This window comes from Homo sapiens, chromosome 2 (assembly GCF_000001405.40).
Source record: "Homo sapiens chromosome 2, GRCh38.p14 Primary Assembly".
In the NCBI taxonomy this organism is placed as follows: domain Eukaryota; kingdom Metazoa; phylum Chordata; class Mammalia; order Primates; family Hominidae; genus Homo; species Homo sapiens.
In genome coordinates, this window is record NC_000002.12 from 52,810,984 (window position 1) to 52,833,893 (window position 22,910).

General features: G+C 34.9%; 1 long non-coding RNA gene across 4 annotated transcripts in view; it reads right to left on the bottom strand.

Moving 5' to 3' along the window:
- The window catches only part of LOC105369165 (uncharacterized), a 486,292-nt gene that overhangs the window by 88,308 nt on the left and 375,074 nt on the right, over nt 1-22,910 (bottom strand). The window lies entirely within an intron of this gene.

Below are 22,910 nucleotides of genomic sequence, written 5' to 3' on the forward strand. Positions count from 1 at the left end.
CTTTAACATTCTGTTCCTTCCTTGGTCACCAGATCTAACCCCAGAGCTAAAGCCTACTCTATATGTGCCACTTCTTTACTCTTTAGAATTCTCCCTCTTCTTTTCTTACTACCAAATCCAATCACGTGTCATAATTAATAATACTTTAAAAATATGTATTCAGATATAAATCACATACATTCATCAAGACCAACTTAAAGGGTACAATTCAATAGTTCTTTAGTATATTCACAAGATTTTGCGACAATGACAAACATCTAATTCCAAAACACTTTCACAGTCCAAAAAGAAATCCTACACATGTTAAGCAGCCACACCCCATTGTTTCACCTACCAACACCTTGCAACCATTAATCTACTTTTTATCTGTGGATTTCTTTCTCTATGCCTATTCTGAAGGTTTCATATAAGTCAACTCAGACAATAGGTAGCCTTTTGTGCCTCCTTTCACATAGCATAGTTTTCAAGGTACATCCACGTTTTAGCATGTGGTAGTACTTTCTTTTTGTGTGTGGCTGAGTAATATTCTATTCTGTGAATATACCACATAGTGTTTTATCATCAGTTGATGAACATTTGAGTTGTGTCTGCTATTTGACTGTTACAAATAAGACTACAAAGATTCAGGTACAAGTTTTTGTGTGAATGTGTATTTTTAATTCTCTTGGTTATATACCTAGAAGTATAATTGCTGGCTTATATGGTAACTCAATGTTTAACATTTAAAGGAAAGACCAAACTGATTTCCACATGGCTGTGCCATTTTACATTTATACATAACGCCATGTATGAGGATTACAATTTCTCTACATTTTTGACAAGGTTGAGGAAGTTTCTATAATTTCTAGTTTGTTAAGTGTTTTTTTAACTAAAAAAAAAATAGAGGTGTTGTATTTTGTCAAATGCATTTTTTCAATTAGCCAGGTCATGTGCCCTTCCCCTCCTCTCTCTTAATATGATGTGTCAAATTAATTAATTTGTATATGTTGAAAAAATCTGGGATTCCTAGGAAAAATCCCACTTGATCATGGTGTATAATTCCTTCATATGCCGATGAATTCAGTTCATTTGTCTTTTGCTGTGATTTTTGCAAATATATTCTCAAGTTATATTGATCTGTAGTTTTATTTTCTGTTGGATCTTTAAATGTTTGGTAGGATTCACTGGTGAAATCATCCAGTCCTGGGTTTTCGATGTTGTTGGCAGTTTCTTATTACTAATTCAATCTCTTGATAAACCTGTTGAGTTTTTCTCTCTCTTCTTCATTCGGTTTTGATAGTCTGTGTCTTTCCAAGAATTTGCCCATTTCATCGACATTACCTAATTTGTTAGCATACAGCGGTTTGCAGTTTTAGAATCCTTTTCATTTTTATAGAGCTAATAGTAATGTCCCTTTTTTATTCCTGATTTTAGTAATGCGAATTGTCTAATTTTTCTAGGTCAATCTTGCTAAAAATTTGATTTGGTTGTTTGCAAACAACTTCTGATTTCATTGATTTTTCTCTATTGTCTTTTGCTCTTCTCTTCAATTCATTTATGTGCTAATCTTTGTTACTTCTTTCCTTAGGTTCGCTTTGGGCTTAATTTAATTTGGTATTTCAAATTTCTTAAAATGAAAGTTAGTTATTAATTTGAAACCTTCTCTTTGGGTGTCTAGAGCTATAAATTTCCCTTGAGTACTGCTTTGGGTGCATCCTATAGTTTTCCATAGGTTGCTTTTACTTCTATAAGTCTCAAAATATTTTCCACTTTCCTCTGTGATTTATTATTTGACTCATTGGTTATTTAGGAGTATGTTGTTTACATTTAACATATTTGTGGCTTTTTAAATTTTCCTCTTATTTTCAGTTTTAATCCATCGCGATCAGATAATTACTTTGTATGGTTTCAATTACTATAGATATATTGAACCTTTTTTGATGGCCTATTCTAGAGAATGTTTCACATGCAACTCAAGAAAATTCTATATTCGGCCATTTTGAGAATATCATTTGTAGATATGTTTTACATATAGTTTGTTTACAGTGCTTTTTATGTCTTCTGATTTCTTGCTGATATTCTCAGTAGTTAGTTGTTTGAGCCATTATTGAAAGTAGCATATATAATTTTCCAATTATAGTTACTGAATTGTCTATTGTCCCTTCAATTTTACGTTTTTTGTCATATATTTAAGAACTCTTTGTTAGGTAAAAACATGTTTACAAATTTTATATCTTCTTAAGTTGATCTTTTCATTGTAATAAAATGTCCATCTTTGTATTTAGTAACATTTTTTGTCTTAAAGTCTATTTTATCGGATATTACTGAAGCTATCTCAAGCACTCTTTTTATGCTATTTGTATGGTCTGTCTTTTTCTATTTATTTTGAACCTATTTGTGTCTTTTGTTTTTTGAGACAGAGTCTCAAAAAAGGTTTTTTCTAAGTCTGTGAAAAATGAGACTGGTAGTTTGATAGGAATAGCATTAAATCTGTCGATTACTTTGGAAAGTATGTCCATTTCAATGTTATTGATTCTTCCAATCAATGAGCATTAAATGGTTTTGCATTTGTTTGTGTCATCTGATTTGTTTTAGCATTGTTAGAGTACTCCTTGTAGGATCTTTCACCTCCTTGGTTAACTGTATTCCTAGATATTTTAGTTTTTGTTTCCATGGCTATTAAAAATGTGATTCCATTCTTGTTTTGGCTCTCAGCTTGAATCCTTTTGGTATACAGAAATGCTATGGATTTTTGTACATTGGTTTTTGTACCTTAAAAACTTACGGAAAATTTTTATCAATTCTAGGATCTTTTTGTTGGAGTTTCTAGGGTTTTCTGAGTAAAGCGTCATATTGTTAGTGAAGAGAGATAATTTGACTTCCTTTTGTCCTATTTGGATGACTTTTATTTCTTTCTCTGGACTGATTTCCCTTGCTAGGATATCCAGTACTGTGTTGAACGGGACTGGTGGGAGTGGGCATACTTGTCCTGTTCCTGTCCTTGAGGGGAATGCTTCTAGCTTTTGCCCATTCAGTATGATGTTTTCTGTGGGTTTGTCCTAGATCGCTCTTATTATTTTGAAGTATGTTCCTTTGAAGCCTAATTTGTTGAGGGTTTTTATCATGAAGAGATGATGGATTTCACTGAAAGCCTTTTCTGTGTCTATTGAGATGATCATATGGTTTCTGTTTTTAATTCTGTTTGTGTGGTGAATCACATTTATTGATTTGCATATGTTGAACCAACTTCGCATCCCAGAAATAAAGCCTAGTTGATTGTTGTGAATGAACTTTTTGATGTGTTGCAGGATTTGGTTCGCTAATATTTTGTTGAGAATTTTCGTGTCTATGTTCATCAAGGATATTGGCCTGTAGTTTTCTTTGTTTGTCTTTGCCAAATTTCGGTGTTAAGGTGATGCTGGCTTCATAGAATAAGTTAGAAAGGAGTTTGTCCTCCTCGATTTTTTTTCAGAAAAGTTTTAATAGAACTGATAATAGCTCTTCTTTGTATGTCTGGTAGAATTAAGCTGTTAATCCATTTGGTCCAGGGCCTTTTCTGTTGTTTGGATTTATATTACTTATTCAATTTTGGAACTCAATACTTGAGAATATAGTTGCAAAAATCACAGCAAAAGACAAGTGAACTGAATTCATCAACATATGAAGGAATTATATACCATGCTCAAGTAGGAGTCACTGGAGTCACTGCTGATTCCTAGGAGTCATTGCTGGAGGGCTAGTGTAATCCTTAGATGGCATCACAACATTCAGATTTTTCATGGTGCCAGATTCTCGTGCTGATTTATTCTCATCTGGAGATGGTGGCATTCCTAATTTTGTACATATATTAATGAAGATAGAATTGTTTTTTCTTTCACTTTCCTCACTCCCTAGGGGATGTTACTGTAGAGATTGTTGAGTAGGGTTTTTTTGACTTTATTTCTATATCCCCGTGTAATTCTGTTGGCAGGTTCTATATTGGGCTGTGTGGTTTGATCTACAGGCCTGTAGATGGTACTTATAGGTAAGAGACAGCTATAGCCAATATGGATGGTCATATACTTGATCCTTGCTTACTGGACGAAGCTCTCTGTTGCATCAAGTAATGGGCTTATCCATGGAGTACACAGTGGTTTGAGGTTTCTGCTCATCCCAGGGTGGGGCAAGATGGGCAGGTCTGGACCAGGCAGTCCTGCTTACACATCCCCCAATGGCAAGTACAAGCACCAGAATGGAGGGGGACACAGTAGGTAGCAACCAAGTGCCCCAGAGGTGTGTTTAGGCATGGAGCTGAAGAGCACCTTGGCCCCAAGCTCTCTGCATGTTGGTGGGGACGCTAACCTCCTACTCCAGAAAAGTGTGTGCTCCAGATGCCTGGAAATCTGCATAAGTGTGGAGTGTAGAGGGCCCTACTACACTACAATCTATTCAGAGCAAGGGTGGGGTGATTCAGCTGGTTATCCAGGTGAACAGGTGCTCCAGATGCCTGGAGATCTTCCTGAGCATAGAGTGGAGAGAACCCTGCTTCACCACACCTCTGCACAGGAAGGATGGGTGGCTCAGGCCATCCAGGTGAGTAGGAGCTTTGACTGCCTAGAAATCTGCCTGGAAGTGGAATGTAGAGGGCCTCACTGTACCATGATCTAGAGAGCATATATTTGAATCATGCTTTTTATTCCTTCTACTAATATCTGCCCTTTAATTTGAAATTTAAGCCATATATATATAATGTAATTAGTTGTAAGGTAGGCTCTACACCTACTATATTGCTATTTGTTTTCTGCAGTTATTATGGATTTTTGTTGTCACCTCTTCCTCCATTATTGTCCTATTTTATGTTAGATAGATATTTTCTATTGTAACACTTTAATATTCTTATTTAATTTACTTTTTTTTAAGTTTTTTAGTTGTTGTCTTAGGGATTATAATTAACAACTTAATTTACAGTAATCTAATTCAGGTTAATACCAACTTAATTGCAATAACATAAAAATGTATCTCCTCTATAGCTCCATTTTCTCTCTCCTTTAGAGTGTTATCACAAATTATATTCTATGACGTGCCCATTAACAAAGATTAATAATTGATTTATGTAGGTGTCTTTTAAATCAGATAAAAAAATTTAAAAACAAAAAATATATTTATACTGTTTTATATTTACTTAAGAAGCTATTTTTGCTGGTGCCATTTAATTCTTTGTGTGAATTTAAATTACTTTCTAGTGTCCTTTCATTTCAGCTTGATGTACTCCTTTTGGCTTTCTTTCGGAGCAGGTCTGCAAGCAATAGACTATCTCAAGTTTTTTGTTTGTTGTTTTTTAAATCTGGGAATATCTTAATTTCTTCTTCATTTTTGAAGAATAGGTTTTTTTTATTTGAAATTTTTAGTTGACAAATTTTTGGTTTATTAGCACTGTAAATATTGTATCCCACTGCCATTTTCTGCCTGCGTTGTTCTGGTGAGTAATCAGCTGTTAATCTTATTGATCATACCTTGAATGAGATTAGTTCTTTCTCTCTTGCTGCTTTCAACATTGTCTGTCTCTTTTTGGTAGTTTCACTGTAGCGAGGCTAGGTATAGTTCCCTTGAATTTGTCCTATAAATGAGCTTAAAACTTTCAAAATCTGATTTTTAAGAAAGATACTAATCTACATTGGCTATTATATCTCAAATATTATTTTTGTTCCTTTTTCTCTCTTTTTTTCTAGAACTCCCATTATGCATAAGGTGGTACATTTGATGGTATCCCACAGCTCCTGAAGCTCTGTTTATTTTTCTTCATTTATTTTTTCTTTAGATTCTCAGACTAGATCATCCTGATAGACCAATCTTCAAAGTCACTGATTCTTTTTTCTCTTAAATTCTGCTCTTCATCCCCTCCAGTGAATTTTTATTTCATTTATTGTAGTTTTATCTTCAGAATTTATATTTGATTCATTTTTATAAATTATGTCTTTATTGAGACTATTCATTTGGTGAGACATTGTTCTCTTACTTTGCTTCAGAACATGGTTTTGAGAATATGATTTCATTTAACTTTTAAATATATTTTATGTAGCTGATTTAAAGCACAATAAGTCCTGTATCTCAGCCTTATCAGGGACAGTTTCTATTTTTTTTTTTTTCCTGAGCGTTGGACATTTTTTAAAAAAATTTCTTTGCATGTCCTGTATTTTTTATTGTAATTAGATTTGGAATTTTGTTACACACACAAAAACATTTTAAATATTCTAAAATGTGGCAACTCTGGAAATCAAGTCTGCTCCTCTTAAGAGTTTACTGTTGTTGCTCCTTGTTGTAGTAGTTGTTTGTTTACTGATTTCTCTAAACTACTAATTCTATAAATTATTTATTCTTTGGCATATGTGGTCATTGAAGTCTCTAAATGGTTATTTAGGAATCATCTAAATAATAAGTAGACAGAAATTTCCTTAATTCTTGCAATCAATATGGAGCATGCCTTGAACACTCAGCCTGATGGTTTACAACTCTGCCTTAGCTTTCACTTACTGCTTGGGCAGAGTAGGCAGGTCATTCTGAAGTGAGAGCCTAAGGGTCTTCTCAGGTCTTTCATGCACATATCCAAAGGCCTACACATTCACTCATGTACCTAGATTCTCAAGAATATGACAGAACTTTTAAAAATAAACACCGCCTGGTGCAACCCTTTTATGATTTTCCAGAATTCTGAAAAAAATCTCCAACAACTCCTTAAGGTTTTTTTTTTAATCTATGTAGGGTTAAAGTTTCAACAGTTCTTTCTCCACTATTTTCACTGACATCAATCCATAGTTAACAATTCTTTATTTTAAAGATTTTGTTTCTAATTACTGTGTGAGTTTTATCTCCTAATTTCAATCTAACTAATATGCTTGTGATACATTCTGTTATAAAATGATAACTGGAATTAATGAAAAACACCCAGTAATCTGAATAGGAGATACTAACTTTTTAACCCCTTAGCAATGGATTCAGTTGAAAGTTAATGATGCAGAAAGGTGTAGAATAGCCACAGTGACTCTTCAAGCTAAATTTACGAAGACTCTGCAGTTTGGCTAACCAAAATAAACTCATCATTAGACAGAGGAAAAATGGTTCTTAGAAAACTAGACAATTTAGTTAGTAAGGTGCCTATCATGGTCTTTTTCATGGCTATCTCCAGACTATATAAATCTTTTTAACATATTATCTTCATCTTAAAACAGACTGAGTCAATCTGTGTTCCTTGAAATTAAGTCAATCAAGAACAAAAGCTAAACACTGCTTATCTTTCTATAAGCTGAACAACGTGTCCGTTCTTTCTCCATGAACACCCCATCACCACCCAACACCACTCATCAATGAGTTTGTATGTCTTTGCTTATGTTACTCTCCCATGTGGAAAATTCTATTACATTTTAATTGGAAAATCAAGTTTAGATGTAGAAATATTAAGTCAAAATCACAAATCACAATATAATCTTATACTTTTGGTGCTAACTTTATTTTCCTCATTAATTAAAAAGCCTATCTTGGATGATTGTTGTGATTAAATGATGTTATCTGTGGAAAGTGATTGTTAGTATACTGAACACATTTGATGTTCTCCATAACTGTTAATGCAACACTGTTTCACCACTCTACCTGATCCAAGTCTTATCCACATAGACCCAAATAAAGTTAATCTTCCATATGAAAGTTTAAATAACATATAATGTTCATGAAGGCCAAATAAAACTATATTGTTCAAAATTAAATTAAACCACATTAACGGGCACAACCAATGTGTTCATTAATATGTTTTGAATTAATTCATTAATGAAATATTCCATACTACTTCAGATTTCAGTGATTCATTTCTGTCCATTATATTGTTAATATCGTTTAAGTGTACTAATTATTTTTCCTTTCCACATGAGGTCAGATAATATGTCTTCTCTCTTTTGCACCCTTAAAGTAGCTGGCCCAGTGTGGGGAAAGAAGAACTACTCAAAAAATGAATAGTAATTGAGTAAATATATTTTTACTTTATTAGAATAAAAATATTGGACTTAACATAAAACATTTAATAAACCCATCTCTCTTTTCTGGACATATCCTGCACATAATATGACACTTTTTGCTTTGTAAAAGTTAAACTATAATTCAATTTTTTCCTTTATGTCATCTTTCTGTACCTCCTTCTGAACTTCTGACATTAGCTGTCACTCACTGTCAGGGAGCTAACTCTAAGCATCAACCAATCTTTAAGCTAAGGATAAATGTGAGCTGAGTTGCACAGAGTAATGTCTCTCTACCTCTAAAAAGACTGTCTTTCCATGGCTTGCCCTTCAGAAGAAAGGAGATTCCTCTGAATGAACACTGTTTGAACAGCCAACCCCATCTAGCATTTCAATTTTCAGTCCACTGATCATGTGAATGCCCATAGTCACAACAGACAAACTAGTTATCTTGGCATTTAAAATAGCACAGTAAAGAGCAAAGCAAAATTTCACATCCTAACTTCTCATAAGAGAGAGGAAAAATGGGAAGAGAAATAATTTTAAAGGAATACCTTAGGAGAAAGAGGAATTGGTGCAGAACTTGGGAAAATATCATCATTTTAAAGTATACAAAGTTTGATTATATGTAGCCTCAATAACATATTTTTCAGAATTGCCTGTGAAAGCCTGAAATTGATAAAGTATATGTTGAATACGTCTTTTTTATTTAGACAAGAAAAGCACAAGGCATAAATAAGTCGTTAGTCCTGAAAGTGACTGATTATAGCAAAGGTTGTAAGAGACTGAATGAAATCCACATGCTACAGCTCCTCTGTGTTGTTTTCCCTTTGCATATTACACAACTGGTTCACATCCTCATCATTAGGATGCTGCTGCTAATCAGATACCTTTGGCCATCCCATTTGAAGTTTGTCTGAAAAACCAACCGCAATCACCTACAATAAAAACAAATCATTAAACCACTTAACTTTTGGTTTGAGAATTTCATAATTTCCCCTTTACTGTTGAAAATCCCACCTGAATTGGGTAAATCTGGCTCACCTGGGCTAAAAGAAACCATGGCGGTACACCTTCTCAGAAAAGAAGAAATTAGTGATTTTCTAGAATATTTCATTTGAGTCAAGTGAGGTGTGTTGAACAGTTAGCCAGACGCAGGAAGATTGATTTCAGTCTTGTCTGGTGAAAGTGAAATTAGATTAGTCTCCACCTGAGAACTTGGACCCCCAGCTGGATAAGAGGTTGAAGGAAAATTATACAAGTCAGGATAATTAGTTTGTTTGTACATCTTGGGAAGCTGTCTCACACTTTACCTCACACGTCTTTTTATTGAAGAGATGCCCCTTGCTGTGTATTTCCCTCTGCAAAGTGAAAATACTTTTGCTTGATTTGCAATGGATCAAACAAGAACATTCAATTCTTCATTAACAGATGAACTAGTGCAGAAAACTAAGACTGCATCATGCTTTCTATGCATGTGGATGATCAAGAGTTTAGCCCTATCTTAATATGAGCAAGGTCAATCTGAAACATGGAGTACCCCCACAGGACAATATAAATAAAATGAGGCTCTTGTGGGGAGAAAATAGGAATTTTCTAGCTGCAGAAAAATGACAGTACTTGGATTAATACAATATTTTAAACAGTAAGCTAATTAAGGCTTGGGTTATTTAATTTGCATTCAGCTCCCTGCAGTCTATCTGCCTTCCCAATGTCCACTCAAGTCTCCTCCAAGGCCTTGAATTGTATTAAGTTCTGCTGAGGACTTCATTTCTCTTGGCTTATGACTTCTATGACCAGCTGCCAAGGACGTGCTACATTTTCTAAATTTAGTGTACTCACTTTTATGGGCAACAAGTATAGACCATGACAGAGCTAGGTGGGAAAATGGTAGGGAGTTAAAGCGGAGGGGGAAAAGAGGAAGAGCAAATAGAAGTGTAGCACGAGAAAAAACAACTGAATAAAGAAGAGGAGGAGAGAGAAGAAAAATAAGAAACTTGGTATAACAGGGCAAAAGAAAAAAACAACTAGCATTTGGATGAGTAGAATTTAGACTAAATTAAACCACAGGCTCTCTGCTTCATAGCTTTTAGGAAACTTTAGAAATATAATTTAATATTGGTTTCCTCTTGCAAAATGTAGAGAGGATAGCACCTACCTGACCAACCTCCTAAGACTGCTATAAGTCAAATGTGATCAAGTAGTGAAAGTAATCTATCCTCCATAAAACATCATAAACACATATACTCCAAGTTTTAACTTCTATCACATTCAAGCTCTCTATCATAAGGTTGAGACTTGATTCCAGTTCCATAATCAATGTGGGTGTAAAAAAACATGCTAATAAATAAATATACTCACAGTTAAATATAGAAGTGAATAAATTAATACAAAATAAGGTGGTGACAACTCCCAGGAAGGTTTCCTGGGAGTATATAGGAGGACTGAGGGGAGCTTAAGAAGATGTATTTCTGGAAGTTTACCATGATGAAGCCCATGATGTGTCTGCCTTCCTTGAAGGGACATCTCTCAATAAATGAATTTTAGGGTATAATTCTGATTCCCTTGAGTTAGAGACACAAACTGAAAGCCAATGGCACAATTTAATATGGAAATGACTATTTCAAAAATACCTGTAAAGTAAATGTGTAAGGAGCTATGTGTTTATCCAGTTGACAGTCTCATTATTGATCTGCTTCATTCACTTATTGTGCATGCCTGAACTTCAAAAGTAATCATTTTTGGATCCCAGTGAGAGGAATATTCCAAATCACTGTACTCTTCAACTGATCTGAACTTCAAGTACTAGTGTGATAATTGCTCATATGTTTGACTGACAAAAAGTGAGAAGGCCTCATAGCACATTCTGCCCAGCTCTCTGCTGCCACCTTGAACTTCACAGCTATACTCCTTCTCTCTTCAGTTTACAAATGGCCATTGAGAAAATGTAAGCACCTCCATTTGGTACAGGAGACTGAGAGAATACAAACAGCTTGGAGAAAGTTGTGGTGAGGAGGAAAGAACAGTATACCAAATCTTCTCCTTATTCTATACCCTCTTTTTCAGGAGTCCCAAACCTGAAAAAGTACATGATGGATTATCTATGGTTTAAAGGGAAAAGAGAATTATGTCTACACATCCCCTCTCCTCACAATCTTCTGTTCCAAGTTCTGTCTTGGGCTTAATATCTTGAAATTATAAGGCTTTTCAGAGCACATTTGTCTTTGTGCTCACAAACTTAAATAACTTAACAATAAAATATGGTAAAATCATTAGAATTCCACTAATTTGGATTTGAAATAACCCTGGCACATATAGAGATAGAAATATCATTAAGTATATGCAGTTCTGAATTTATTATGGTCTTATTGTCTGGGGAAACAATAATTTTAAAATAATTGGTATTTTCAAAATAATCAAAATGATTTTTAAAGATATTAAAGGCATAAAAAATCTTGTTATTTGCCTTTATTTTTTTATCTGGCAATTAGTTCTCCAACGTTAAAGTGTTTTTATATTTTGAATCCATTATTATGTGAAGGTGGTCTATTTCAACTTGTTATTTTCTCATTAACTTATCTCACCTTACTTATTAGTATACAAGTACATATGTGTTGTCTACTTGAAAATTACAAATTTTCATGTGTAAATAAATGTTCTAATTGGCAGCATTTTACTAGGCCATTCTAAGTTTCCCAGGTAATAAAGACACAAGTCTTCTGGTATATAATTTACTGGACTTATTGAGCACTGCCTTTACTCCTTTATATCACAGGAAAATACTTTAGGTCATTTTTCCCCACTGTATTAGAGATAACAGCTGTGCAATTAAATTCTCACTGGTTCTTGAACAGGACTAAGAGTTTGACAACTCCATGGGTTTGCACAGCCTAATTCATGGGTCTAGAATACTCTTCCCAAACTCCTGACTCTTCCTGTAAAGTTGCGGCTATTTTTTCCCCTCCACTGCCAGCAACGTTTTATATGAAACCTTTCCTAACTCTCTGAGAAAAAGCTGTCACAACTCTGGTCATCTACCATATGTCTTTATTATAGTAGTTTGTATGGGTACTTATAATTATTTTTCCTATCTGTCACCCACAAAAACTGTGAGCTCACCAAGATCAAACATAGAATCTCATTGATCTTTTTAATCTATGAAAAACAACAAAACAAAACTCGATAGTAGACTTTCAGGGACTACAATTCTGAGAATTTTTAATGAACCCCAATTTTCTGTATCATTCATTACTCTAAAGTATAAGTCACTAGTGAGAATGAATGGTGCATTTTTATTTTGCATTAAAAAAGACTGTAAAAAAGAGTTCAAAAGTACTAGGGTGTTCTCATTAGTCCTTTAGGGAGTAGTTTTCTGAATTCTTCTAATGTCATCTCCACCACTGATAGCATTCAACAAAGAATTATTTGAAAAGACAGATTAGCAAGAATAATGGAAACTGGAGGTCAGAAGTGAAATAGCTAGAGAAAAAATGTACTGCATATAACTCTTTCCAAAGGTGGTATGCTTAGGAGAAAAACCTTCTGAAGTGGCATGGTTTAGAAGAGACGCAGGAAATAACTTGTGACATGATAGATGATTGTGTTAGGAAGGAAAGACACTATGTGAGATAGTTCAGAGGTCAATCATAAATGATATAACTCCTTCTATGAGCAAAATGAGGAAATAAATAAACCTCAGAATTCTGATAATTAGGTGTAAATCAACAGAGATTCCAGCCCTTAAATCACCAAAACCTTGTAAAAATTACTTAATATTTCTTTTTGGAGCATTAATTTTAGACACGAATGGCTAAAGTTGTTTGGACAGGCTGAAAACCCTGAGTTTCTCGACAGATTGCTACTGCAGAGTTTGTTTCTCATCACAGTCACACACATACACTCAAACACACTAACACATGCACATACCACTTCGGGTTTCCATCTCTTACTGTTGACGCTGTTTTCTTTGACTAGTCTCTCATTTTTTAATCAAAGTTAAAGTGGCACAGAAGTTCTGAAATTCAGCTTTCACAACCATTATAGAGATAAAAACACATACACAGCTGGGCTGTCAAATTTCTCGAGAGGAATCTTTTATGCTTTGCAATGAAATGATGCTTGCTCTCCTCTCTCCCTTTTACTCCCACAGCTCACTGATGGAAATTTTGACTGATTCTAGGGAGTCATATAATTGTATATTCACTATTTATCTATTCATTTGATAACCTAATCAGTCCTTGGGAAATGCTGACTTACTCATCATCCTGTTATACTGACTATGTACGACAATCCAATGATCAAACTACATGATATATTTGAAATAAGAAATTCATTAATGCTGTTCTTGATCATGGTTCTTTACAAATATGATAAGCATCGCATCACATAGATAATTGGCTTTGAATTTTTAACTCTCAGCTTTTCTAAGATTTGTATAATTTATATTCAAAAATCTAGTGAGAAAGCATAAATCACTGACATTAAAAAAACTGAAAAAAAGACAAAAATTTGTCTAAAAGAGGAACCAGAAGCACAAATTAAAGGCAATTAAAGTACCTACAGTGGAAACAAAGAATGATTTCAGTGGTAAATTTAAAAGACTAAAGGTTAATATTTAAAAACATGAAATATGAAATTTTAATTTCTCTGATAGGGTTTTGTAATAAACATTGAATTGGGAACATATAATTAAATATCAGTGAAGCTTTCAGAAACAATATATCATTTGTAATATAAGGCATGTTTGTATAAAGTATGAACAATAGAGAAATTAAGCTATTGACACACAATGAAGGTCAATCAACATATGTTGAAAACAGTTGCATTTATATAAATGTTCTGTAAAAACACTTGAGATAATCATTTCTAGAAGAATGAATTTTCAGCATATAATAACAGGCAATGATGCCGTAAGTGTTTAAAGCAATGGAATAATAAGATGAAAGGAAATCCTACATTCAAGAGATGAATTTCTTCACTCAAAAACTTAATTTGACAAGTGCTTCAGTCAAAGTAAACCTTTCTGATTGGTTATCTTGAATGGGAGTAGAAAGGAAAAGTGTAAGAAGAATGATGGATCAGCAGCTGTATGCCAGTAGTGGAGTCAGGATGCTACTTGAATCTTCAGACACTTCTTCCATCATTCCTTTTCCATGTTATACTCCAGCCATATTATACGGGTTGTGGTTCACTGAACACGCCATGCTACTCTGTCTCCATGAGTTTTATATACTAGTTTATCTATTAATATCTGCCTTCCTCTCAGCTTTCCTTTGAATGGTTAGCATCTCTTTACTCTAATGCACACATCAGTCTCCATCTTTTACATTAACTTTCTCCTGGGATCCTGAGCATTTAGTTATTCCTTTCATTGAGGTTTTTATCACACCACACTTCAATGGTTGGTTCATGTGCCCATCTCTCTTATTAGACTGATATTTTGGGTAGCAGATTCCATGCCTTTTCAAATGCCTACCCCAGACTCATTTAATGATATATATCCAAAAAATTGGTACACAAGAAAACCTCTGGGTGGTTTTCATTTTCGTGTGTCATCTCAGAGTCCCCAGAGCCAACCCTCAAGATCAGTGATTCGATCTATATCCTGCACCAAAATATCTGATCTCTGAAAACTACAGATTTTTTTAAAAGGTTGATCCAATAAAACACCCTAACTTTGAACTGATAATGTTTATTTCCAGTATTGTGGTATAGTGTGGTATGAAAACTAATAATCAAAATTAACAGTTACATCTTCCTTTTTAGCAGAAAAATAATAACAAGAGGATTCATTGTATGACAAGCTTTTTTCTAGGCCTCCTCACATACAAGATCTCATTATTGAGCATATATTGCTAAATTTTCCTCTAATCGTGCCACTGTCCCAGACACTTGGATTATATGTACAAGATATATGATGTCCTTGCCATCATGATGTTTACATTCACATGGACCAGACATTATTTTAAGAAAGTATGCATATTTTTAAAAAATTTGTTATTGCTAAGTAACATTAAGAACACAAAGCAAGGTTGGGTGATAGTCACTAAGAGCTTCTTTTTTCAAATAATGTAGCCAGGAAAGACTCTCTAGATGAGCTGATATTTGAAGACACCCAAATCTGAGAAGGGGCTATTAGAATGTATACATTAGTGAAGCATATGCCAGGCTGAGCTAGCCAATGTCATGACCCCTGAAGAGGACATGAGCTCTCTGTGTTTGAGGGATAACAAAGAACAGAGTAACTAATACAATAACATGGGAGAAGCAGGCAGGAGCCAGATCATGAAGAACCTTATAGATAATTATATGGCATTTGATAAAATATAATTCATATTTTTCAAAGTCCATTCCTGCTATAGAGTGGAAAGCAGGATATATGGGGAAAAGGGAGGAAACAAGAAGATGATGAAGCTATTGCAGAACCAAAGAAAAGATGATGGAGGAGTGATGACGATGACAGAATTCAAGATATTTGAAAGATTATATTTGGTAGGTATAGCTAACCTGTTTCTGAGTTGGATAGGTGGGGTAGTATTAAAAGTGTTAGGAAACCAAGAATGACTCCTAAGGTTTGACCTGAGTAATTGGTTAAATGTGGTAATGTAAATTGAAATAAAAAACAAAGATAGAGAAGGTTGATGAGGAGGGCAAGGAACAGAGTAGCTTAGATGCTGGATGGATGATCAGTGCTAAATTACCAAGAATGATAATAGGAATAGTGGCAGAAAGGAAGAGATTAAATATTTGCTCATTATTGCAATTGGACAGCATATGACAGCAACAAGAAGGACTAGTGTATAGCAGAGTCCAATCTTAGACCCTTCAAAAAAGACGGGAATTTGAGGTATGAGGAAGAAAAATCATCAGAAAAAGGCATAGGGAGGCAGGGGCAATCCTATGCTACTAGCCCGATGGTAGATTGATGTACATCTTTGGAATAAATAAACAAAAACCTTTTCTATTTGAATGGGCTGTAGGAGAACCTGTGTCTTTAAGGGAGAGTCAGCATAAAGAGCATATTTTGAAAGTTAGTAGGGGAGTTTTCTGATGATGCTTGTGAGTTTCAAGGGGCACTATATAAAGGTTTGGGAGTCAGCGAGGACTGAGAAATGGCATCAAATTAGGGAATGTACAAACTCATACGATGATAAAAAAATTTGATTATAATAAATAGCCTGAGACACGTGAACTTTTGGCATGACCCAGAATGGCCACTATTTTTATTTTTAAAATATTAAAATATGTTAATATTTGATGAATAGTCATTACCCTGAGCTCTCACAGTGCCCTTCTCATAATCATGGTACTCTAGCCCCTTTTCCCAAGACTCTTGGCCTTTCTATGATCTAGAAACTATAAACAGGTATCATGAAGCACAACAAGGGGCTTTCAGAATGCTCTCCACTGCAGTGTCTAGCATCTGTTTGCATTTGTCTGTACAGGATACTTATGTAATAAGTTGAATACCTTATTTTTTACATGGTATACTCAGAATGATGCCTGGGTGATAATTCAGGTGAATTGCAGTATGAGGAATGATGGGATTAGTCCTAATATTCTAAAGAGAAGGAACAGTCTCATCTCATCATAGTATCTAGCAAAAGCTTGTTCTTGTAGTGACAGTGATGAGGATAAAAGTGTGACAAACAAGGGTAAGGGCACCCTTGACAAAAGCATTTGAACAATTATATTTCTTCAGTGTAGGGGAACACACTGAAAGGAGTCACACTGCACAAAAACTAAATTCCAGTAAATAAAGCAGCTTCATCTAGATGCTCAATGTCTACTGCCAGGACCCCAAAAACAGACGTTATTATTCCCATATTACACACAAAGATGCATATTTAAAGTTTGCCCCAAAGCATAGTTTACTAAGGGATGGATGGAGAATTCTAATCCAAGTCTTTCATATTCAAAAACCTATGCATTTTCTTCAACCTGTACCTGCATGTGTGGAAACATAATATTGTAATGCCATTTTAATACTCACTACAAGTATAGAACTTAAAGGGACTTAAAAATACCAATGATGAAAATCTAGTAAATAGAGGTGCATGTTGCAGTCTCTGTGGCAGATAGATTGCAAACCAAAATTTGGGAACCAAAAGGAAGGGAAAAGAACTTTAATAAATTTTATAATACACATGAACATTCAATATGATAAACAAAAAGATTTATTAGCATGCTATGAAATAGTCAAAACAGATTTTAGGAGCTCAGGTTGTGTTTTTCTTGTTCCTTTCCTTTTTTTTTTTATAGGAGACACTTTTGAAATACATCCCGATTTTGCAATATATGCCTTTGCATTAAACAAATTACCTAAATACTGGGATACAGCACAAAATAGAAATTTTATTAACTTTTTTTGCTGACTTGATTCAATTTGACATAAAATATTAAAAATGGTGAAAGCATCTGAATTAAATTCATGAAGAGATCCCAATACTTAAGTAGAGAGGTTTTTTTTTTTTTTTTAATGCTCTAACTGCACATTCTACAAGTCAAAATAGGTCTTTGAGGACCTATAATGTGTTGATCTCCTTAAAGCTATTTCAAGAGACCAGAATTGTTTTATATAGGTAACTTGAAGTATTAGGTAAAGTGGATCCCTCAAAATGAAATTAAATGGATCAAGTGGAGATTGGCCAAGATAGTTTCTATGGGAGGTTCCATTTAAATCACAACACAACATGATTCTGAGCATGTCTTTATGGACTAATAAGAAACATTAGTTATGTAAAAGATAAATGCTTTTGTTATAGATTTTATGAAAAGTTCTATTTCTCATAGACAAAATAGGCTTTGAAACTCTAACTCACATCAAACCTACAGTTCAATCCTTATTACACTGTGTACATATAATAGCTATTCATGTTACAATTAACGCAAGGCATGCTTGAGACAGTCCTGGCGGGTGTCCGTTTTATTTAATCTGTGGTAATGATGCTCTATTTTGCTCTCAAAATTGTTCTGGTTTGCAAGATAAAGTACATGAATAATTCAATTGAAAATGATATGTGGACCACCTTGCCAATTAAAAGGAAAAAAACAAATATTGGACAGGGAAACTAAGGTATCTCAAATGCCAAAAACAGCATCATCAAGAGTTTAATGTGATTCTTTTGAACATAATGTTACTTCCTAAAATAGAAGAAGGAAGCTTAAGTACGTAAGCATGCTCTTATCTTCCTTTCTTAAGGATGAAGTGATCTTCCACCTGCCCCATCCAACTGTATGCTTGATTTGTGGTAGGTGGTTTATATTAGTGATTGAGGTATGAACATCAGCATCATGACAATCTAGGTTTAAATACAAACTTTGATATCCCACAGCTGTGTGAACTTGGACCCGTTAACCTTTCTAAGCATCACTTTCTCATCTGACAGTTGAGAATAGTATCTTCCCTCTAAAACTGCCTATAGATAGAATTCCATAAATGAGAGATAACACCATTTTAATAGTCAAAGGCATCACCATTATTGTCAGCATCATCTGATTCCCTCCAACACTTACAAAACTGTTTTCTTATCACTTTTCTCTAAGTCAACTATTTTCCCATCATATCTTGCTCTTTGGTTACTTTCTGTCTAAACCCAAACAAAGCAAACAGAAAAAAAAAAACTAATCTAATGGACTTTAGTCATTCTCTATGACCAGCAAAACAACTTTAGAAGACAATCTTCCCTTATTCCTCCTTTTTCTCAATTTTTTATCCACTACAATTTGGTTTCCACTTTTTTCGCTACAATAAAACTGTTGTTCAAAGAGGAATTGAATTTCCTACAACATGTATAAGCTGCAGTTCAAAATTCTAGGCATATCCTACAAGGTGAGCTGTCACAGTTCAGAAAGTGCTTTTCTATAAATTAGAAAAAGCTGGCCCCCCTTAAATTAAAAAATAAGGATGTTTATATTGCACAACCTAATCAAGAATATGCAACCACTCTTAGGAATTAAGTGGAGACACTGCTGTGTAAAACACCATCTTGGCTGGGCCAGGACCTGTCCAGGGGAGCGTTCCAGGGTCCTGAGAGGCAGGAGCCAGGAACACACATCCAAAGGTATCCATACACGCTCCTGTTTCCATACTCCTTGGAAGCCAAGAAGCATATCCCTCAGCAACCCTAACATTCCATACCCACCACTATACCTTGCTCTACAGATGAGATAACCATGTCAAGTTTGGGGGTAGAGATAACAGGCCCTCCAAGAGTGGCAGTGGGAAAAAGAAACCTTAGTGCATGTCAGGGAAAAAACCCAGCATTATGCACATATGTGTGCCAGTGTATGTTTTCATGCATGTTTCTCTGAGCTGATGCATGACTAGCCTCAACTGCTCCAGGTTAGTATCTATCCGCTGTGTGAATGCAGTTTCTTAGATATGACACATTTATATAATCAACAACCTGAATAGCCATACAGAGTGGCCCCAAGGTTCTCCATAACCTGGGCTCTAACTATCATTCTATCCATTTTTCCCATCACCCACTGTCTTGAAATTTATGCTCTAGTATTACTAAGCTGCTGTAACTTCAGTTTTTAATGAGACAATTTAACAGTCCCATGTCTTCACTCATGCGTCTCCCTCCCTTAGCAATTCCTTCACTCCTTTTCTTTACATGCATATGTTCTTCTTTACTTCAAGGATCAAACCCAGGAAGAATCTGCTGTAGAAACTCTTCTTTGAAGCTCACACACATACACTCACACACTTAATGGAGCAGGCCAATTCCTTAGGTTCCTCTTCTATGCTCCATTGCATCTTGTTTCTATTTCTACACGATGTTTACTTTATTAATTTAAAATTATCTGTTTATGCATGCCTCCCCAAACTAGTTCTCACGCTATTTTGATAGTGAAAATGTCTTAGTTATTTTTATACTCTAGACTTCAGCACCGTTATTGTCACAGGGTAGATGATGAATAAGAATGTAATGATACAAACTAAAGAGACAGTATGGAATGATACTCCAAGTCCGGCTACTTTGTAAATTGATCTCAATTGATGAGTACTGGATAAAAAACTAATTGTAGCATGTTAAAAAACCCTGGGTACTGGATAAATGCTTTTTCTATTTTTTGGAAACACTTTAAAAATAGAAGTCTAACATACATATAAAAAAGTGCACAAATCTTAATTTGTACAGCTTGATGCATTGCCACAGGTGACCTTGCCATGGCCTTCACTACCAGATAAGGATATAAAATATCACAAACACCATAGTATTCTCTTTCATGCCTACTTCCTATCTGTTCCTCCAACAGTAACCATTCTTCTGATAACACCAGAGTTTAATTTTGGCTATTTTTTATTTCATATACATGGAATCATACAGTATATGTTATTTTGTGTCTGGCTTCCTTCACTCAACATTTTCTTTGTGACATTTAGTCAGGTTGTGATCCAATCATTCACACTGCTACATAGAATTCCACCCTATGATTATGCTACAATGTATCCATTGTACTCTTGATGGGAATTTTGTTTGTTGGCAATTTTTGACTATTATGAATAGAACTGCTATGGTTATTCTAGTATATGTCTTTTGATAAATATATGGTCCTCATTCCAATGAGTATATTCCTTGGAATTGAAATCCTTATTAGAGAGTATTCATATGTTGAGATTTAGTAGATGCTGCAAAACCATTTTCCAAAGCAGTGGTACAGACTTACACTCCTATCAGCAGTAAATGAGAGTTATAGTATCTCTATATGCTAACTCTTAAGATTGTCACTTGATTCTTTTTAAGTAAATTTAATTTTTTTGAGAAGTTTTAGGTTCACAGAAAAACTGAGTGGAAGGTGTAGAGATATCTTCTCTACCCACTACGACCACATATGAGCAGCCTCTCCTACTGTCAAAATCCTACGGAGTGGTAAGTGTTACAATTAATGTTGTCAGTTAATTTTTAATTTATTTATTCTGTTGTGCATGTTTCTCACTATTATTTAATTTGAATTTTTCTGATGATTATGTTGAGCACCATTTTATGTGTTTTTTTCATCACTGGATATCTTCTTTTTTGACATGCCTATTCAAGTTTTTTGCTCAAATTGTTCATTGGGTGATTGTTTTTTCCCCATATTTATTTGTAGAAATTATTCAAATAATTTGGATATGACCCTTTTTTGAATAAATGTATTGAAAATATTTTCTCCAATTTCCACATATTTATTGTATAATCCAAAATATCTGGATTATCTGTAGGCTATTTCTGTTGTATGTGCTTTGTCGTCTTTTTTCCTACATCATTTGATCCTGCTTTCTTGTATAGCTAATCATTCTTTATTGAATGCTGTACACTAAGTATAATATATTTTTATATATTTGTGACACTGGACAGCTGTTATCTTCCTCAAGGGAAGGTTTAATTTTCTTCTAAACAGAAGATAAAAAATAAGCAAATCACTTTGATTTTTAGAAAGCTGGTGTATTTCTGTTTTGCCTTTTTCTCCTAGAGGATAGCTCTTCTGGGATTTTAATTGAATGCCTGGGGTGTTTACCAGAGCTATCTCCCTCAGCAGGCTATCTGCTCCAATTTTTGTCTCCCCAGCACCATGAAACTGGTAAATTCTCTGCTTACATGTTTAGCCTCTTAGCAGTTGTTCCCTGCTTGGCTTCTCTGTGTCTTGTCCTAAGCATGTGTAACCAAGGAGTACAGCCTCGAGAAGAAATTGCATGCAGAACTTTGGCTCACTTTTTACTGGTCCTCTTTTCTGTAGGATCTTGTCTTTTTTTTTTTTTTTTTTTTTTTTTTGAGATGGAGTGTCGTTCTTGTTGTCCAGGCTGGAGTGCAGTGGCGCGATCTGGGCTCACTGCGATGTCCGCCTTCCGGTTTCAAGCGCTTCTCCTGCCTCAGCCTCCCGAAGGATCTTGTCTTTTTAAAAACCTAGCTATTTGGTAAACCTGCACTAATTTTTAATCTCCCTAGCTCAGTGAAACACCTGCAATTTCTAGGGCCCTACAGTGTGTTCAGCCTCTACGTCTCATGCAGAAAATCAGCAAATCCTCAAAGGGAAGACGGAGAAAATGGAGGACTCTCCTTATTATGTATGATACCTTCATGACGATTAAGAAGGTAAACAATACCTAATATTTGTATACACTAAAGGCAAAGAAATTAAAAACATAAAAGAAGAAGGTGCTTGATGTGTTTAAAATTGAAGCATAACAAAATATAAGTGAAAACTTTCTATCCAGTATGCCCTTTTCTTAACTCAGGCTGCCTAAATTCTTTCCAGCATTTAAGACTCATATCAAACGACACTTCCTCCATTATTTCATCCCAGATCCCACTAGGCAATTTTGGACATTCTATTCTTCCTGTCCATTATTATTCTATTTATGGCCTAGGAAACAAGGGTGAGTCCCCTCAAGGTACACACATCCCCCATCTTCTAAATCATACTCTGCCTACTCTAGACCACAGAATTCTCAGCCCAAACAGACCCAAGGTTATTCTAGGATTTGTGTGGCCCCTTAATATGAATCTATCTCAGTGGAGGGGTATAAATAGCCATCAGAGTGTATGCCAGTGGGTTCCAAATTTGGCCAATGGGTGAATGTTTGTAGGCAAGGTTGACATGTTAAATACAGGATGCCTAGCTAAATTTGAATTTTGGTTAAACAACAAAATATTGCAAGGAACATACTTATAATAAAAAATTTGTTTTGTGTCTGAAAATCATATTTTACTGGGGATCCTGTCTTTTTATTTGTTAAATCTGGTAATCTTATTTGCAAGGGATAACAACAATGACAGTTTTGTCTACCACGGGCACTGAAGGCCCCTTGTATTATAGGAGCAATATAGGAGTGGAAAGAAGAGTCGGCCAGGCTTGGAGCTAGGACTCAAGAGTGGAGACATCAGGGACCGAGCACAGGGTCTTCCTGAGTACCCACGTTCTGAATCAAAGTCAAAGAAGTCTGAGCATTCTGACTTTGAA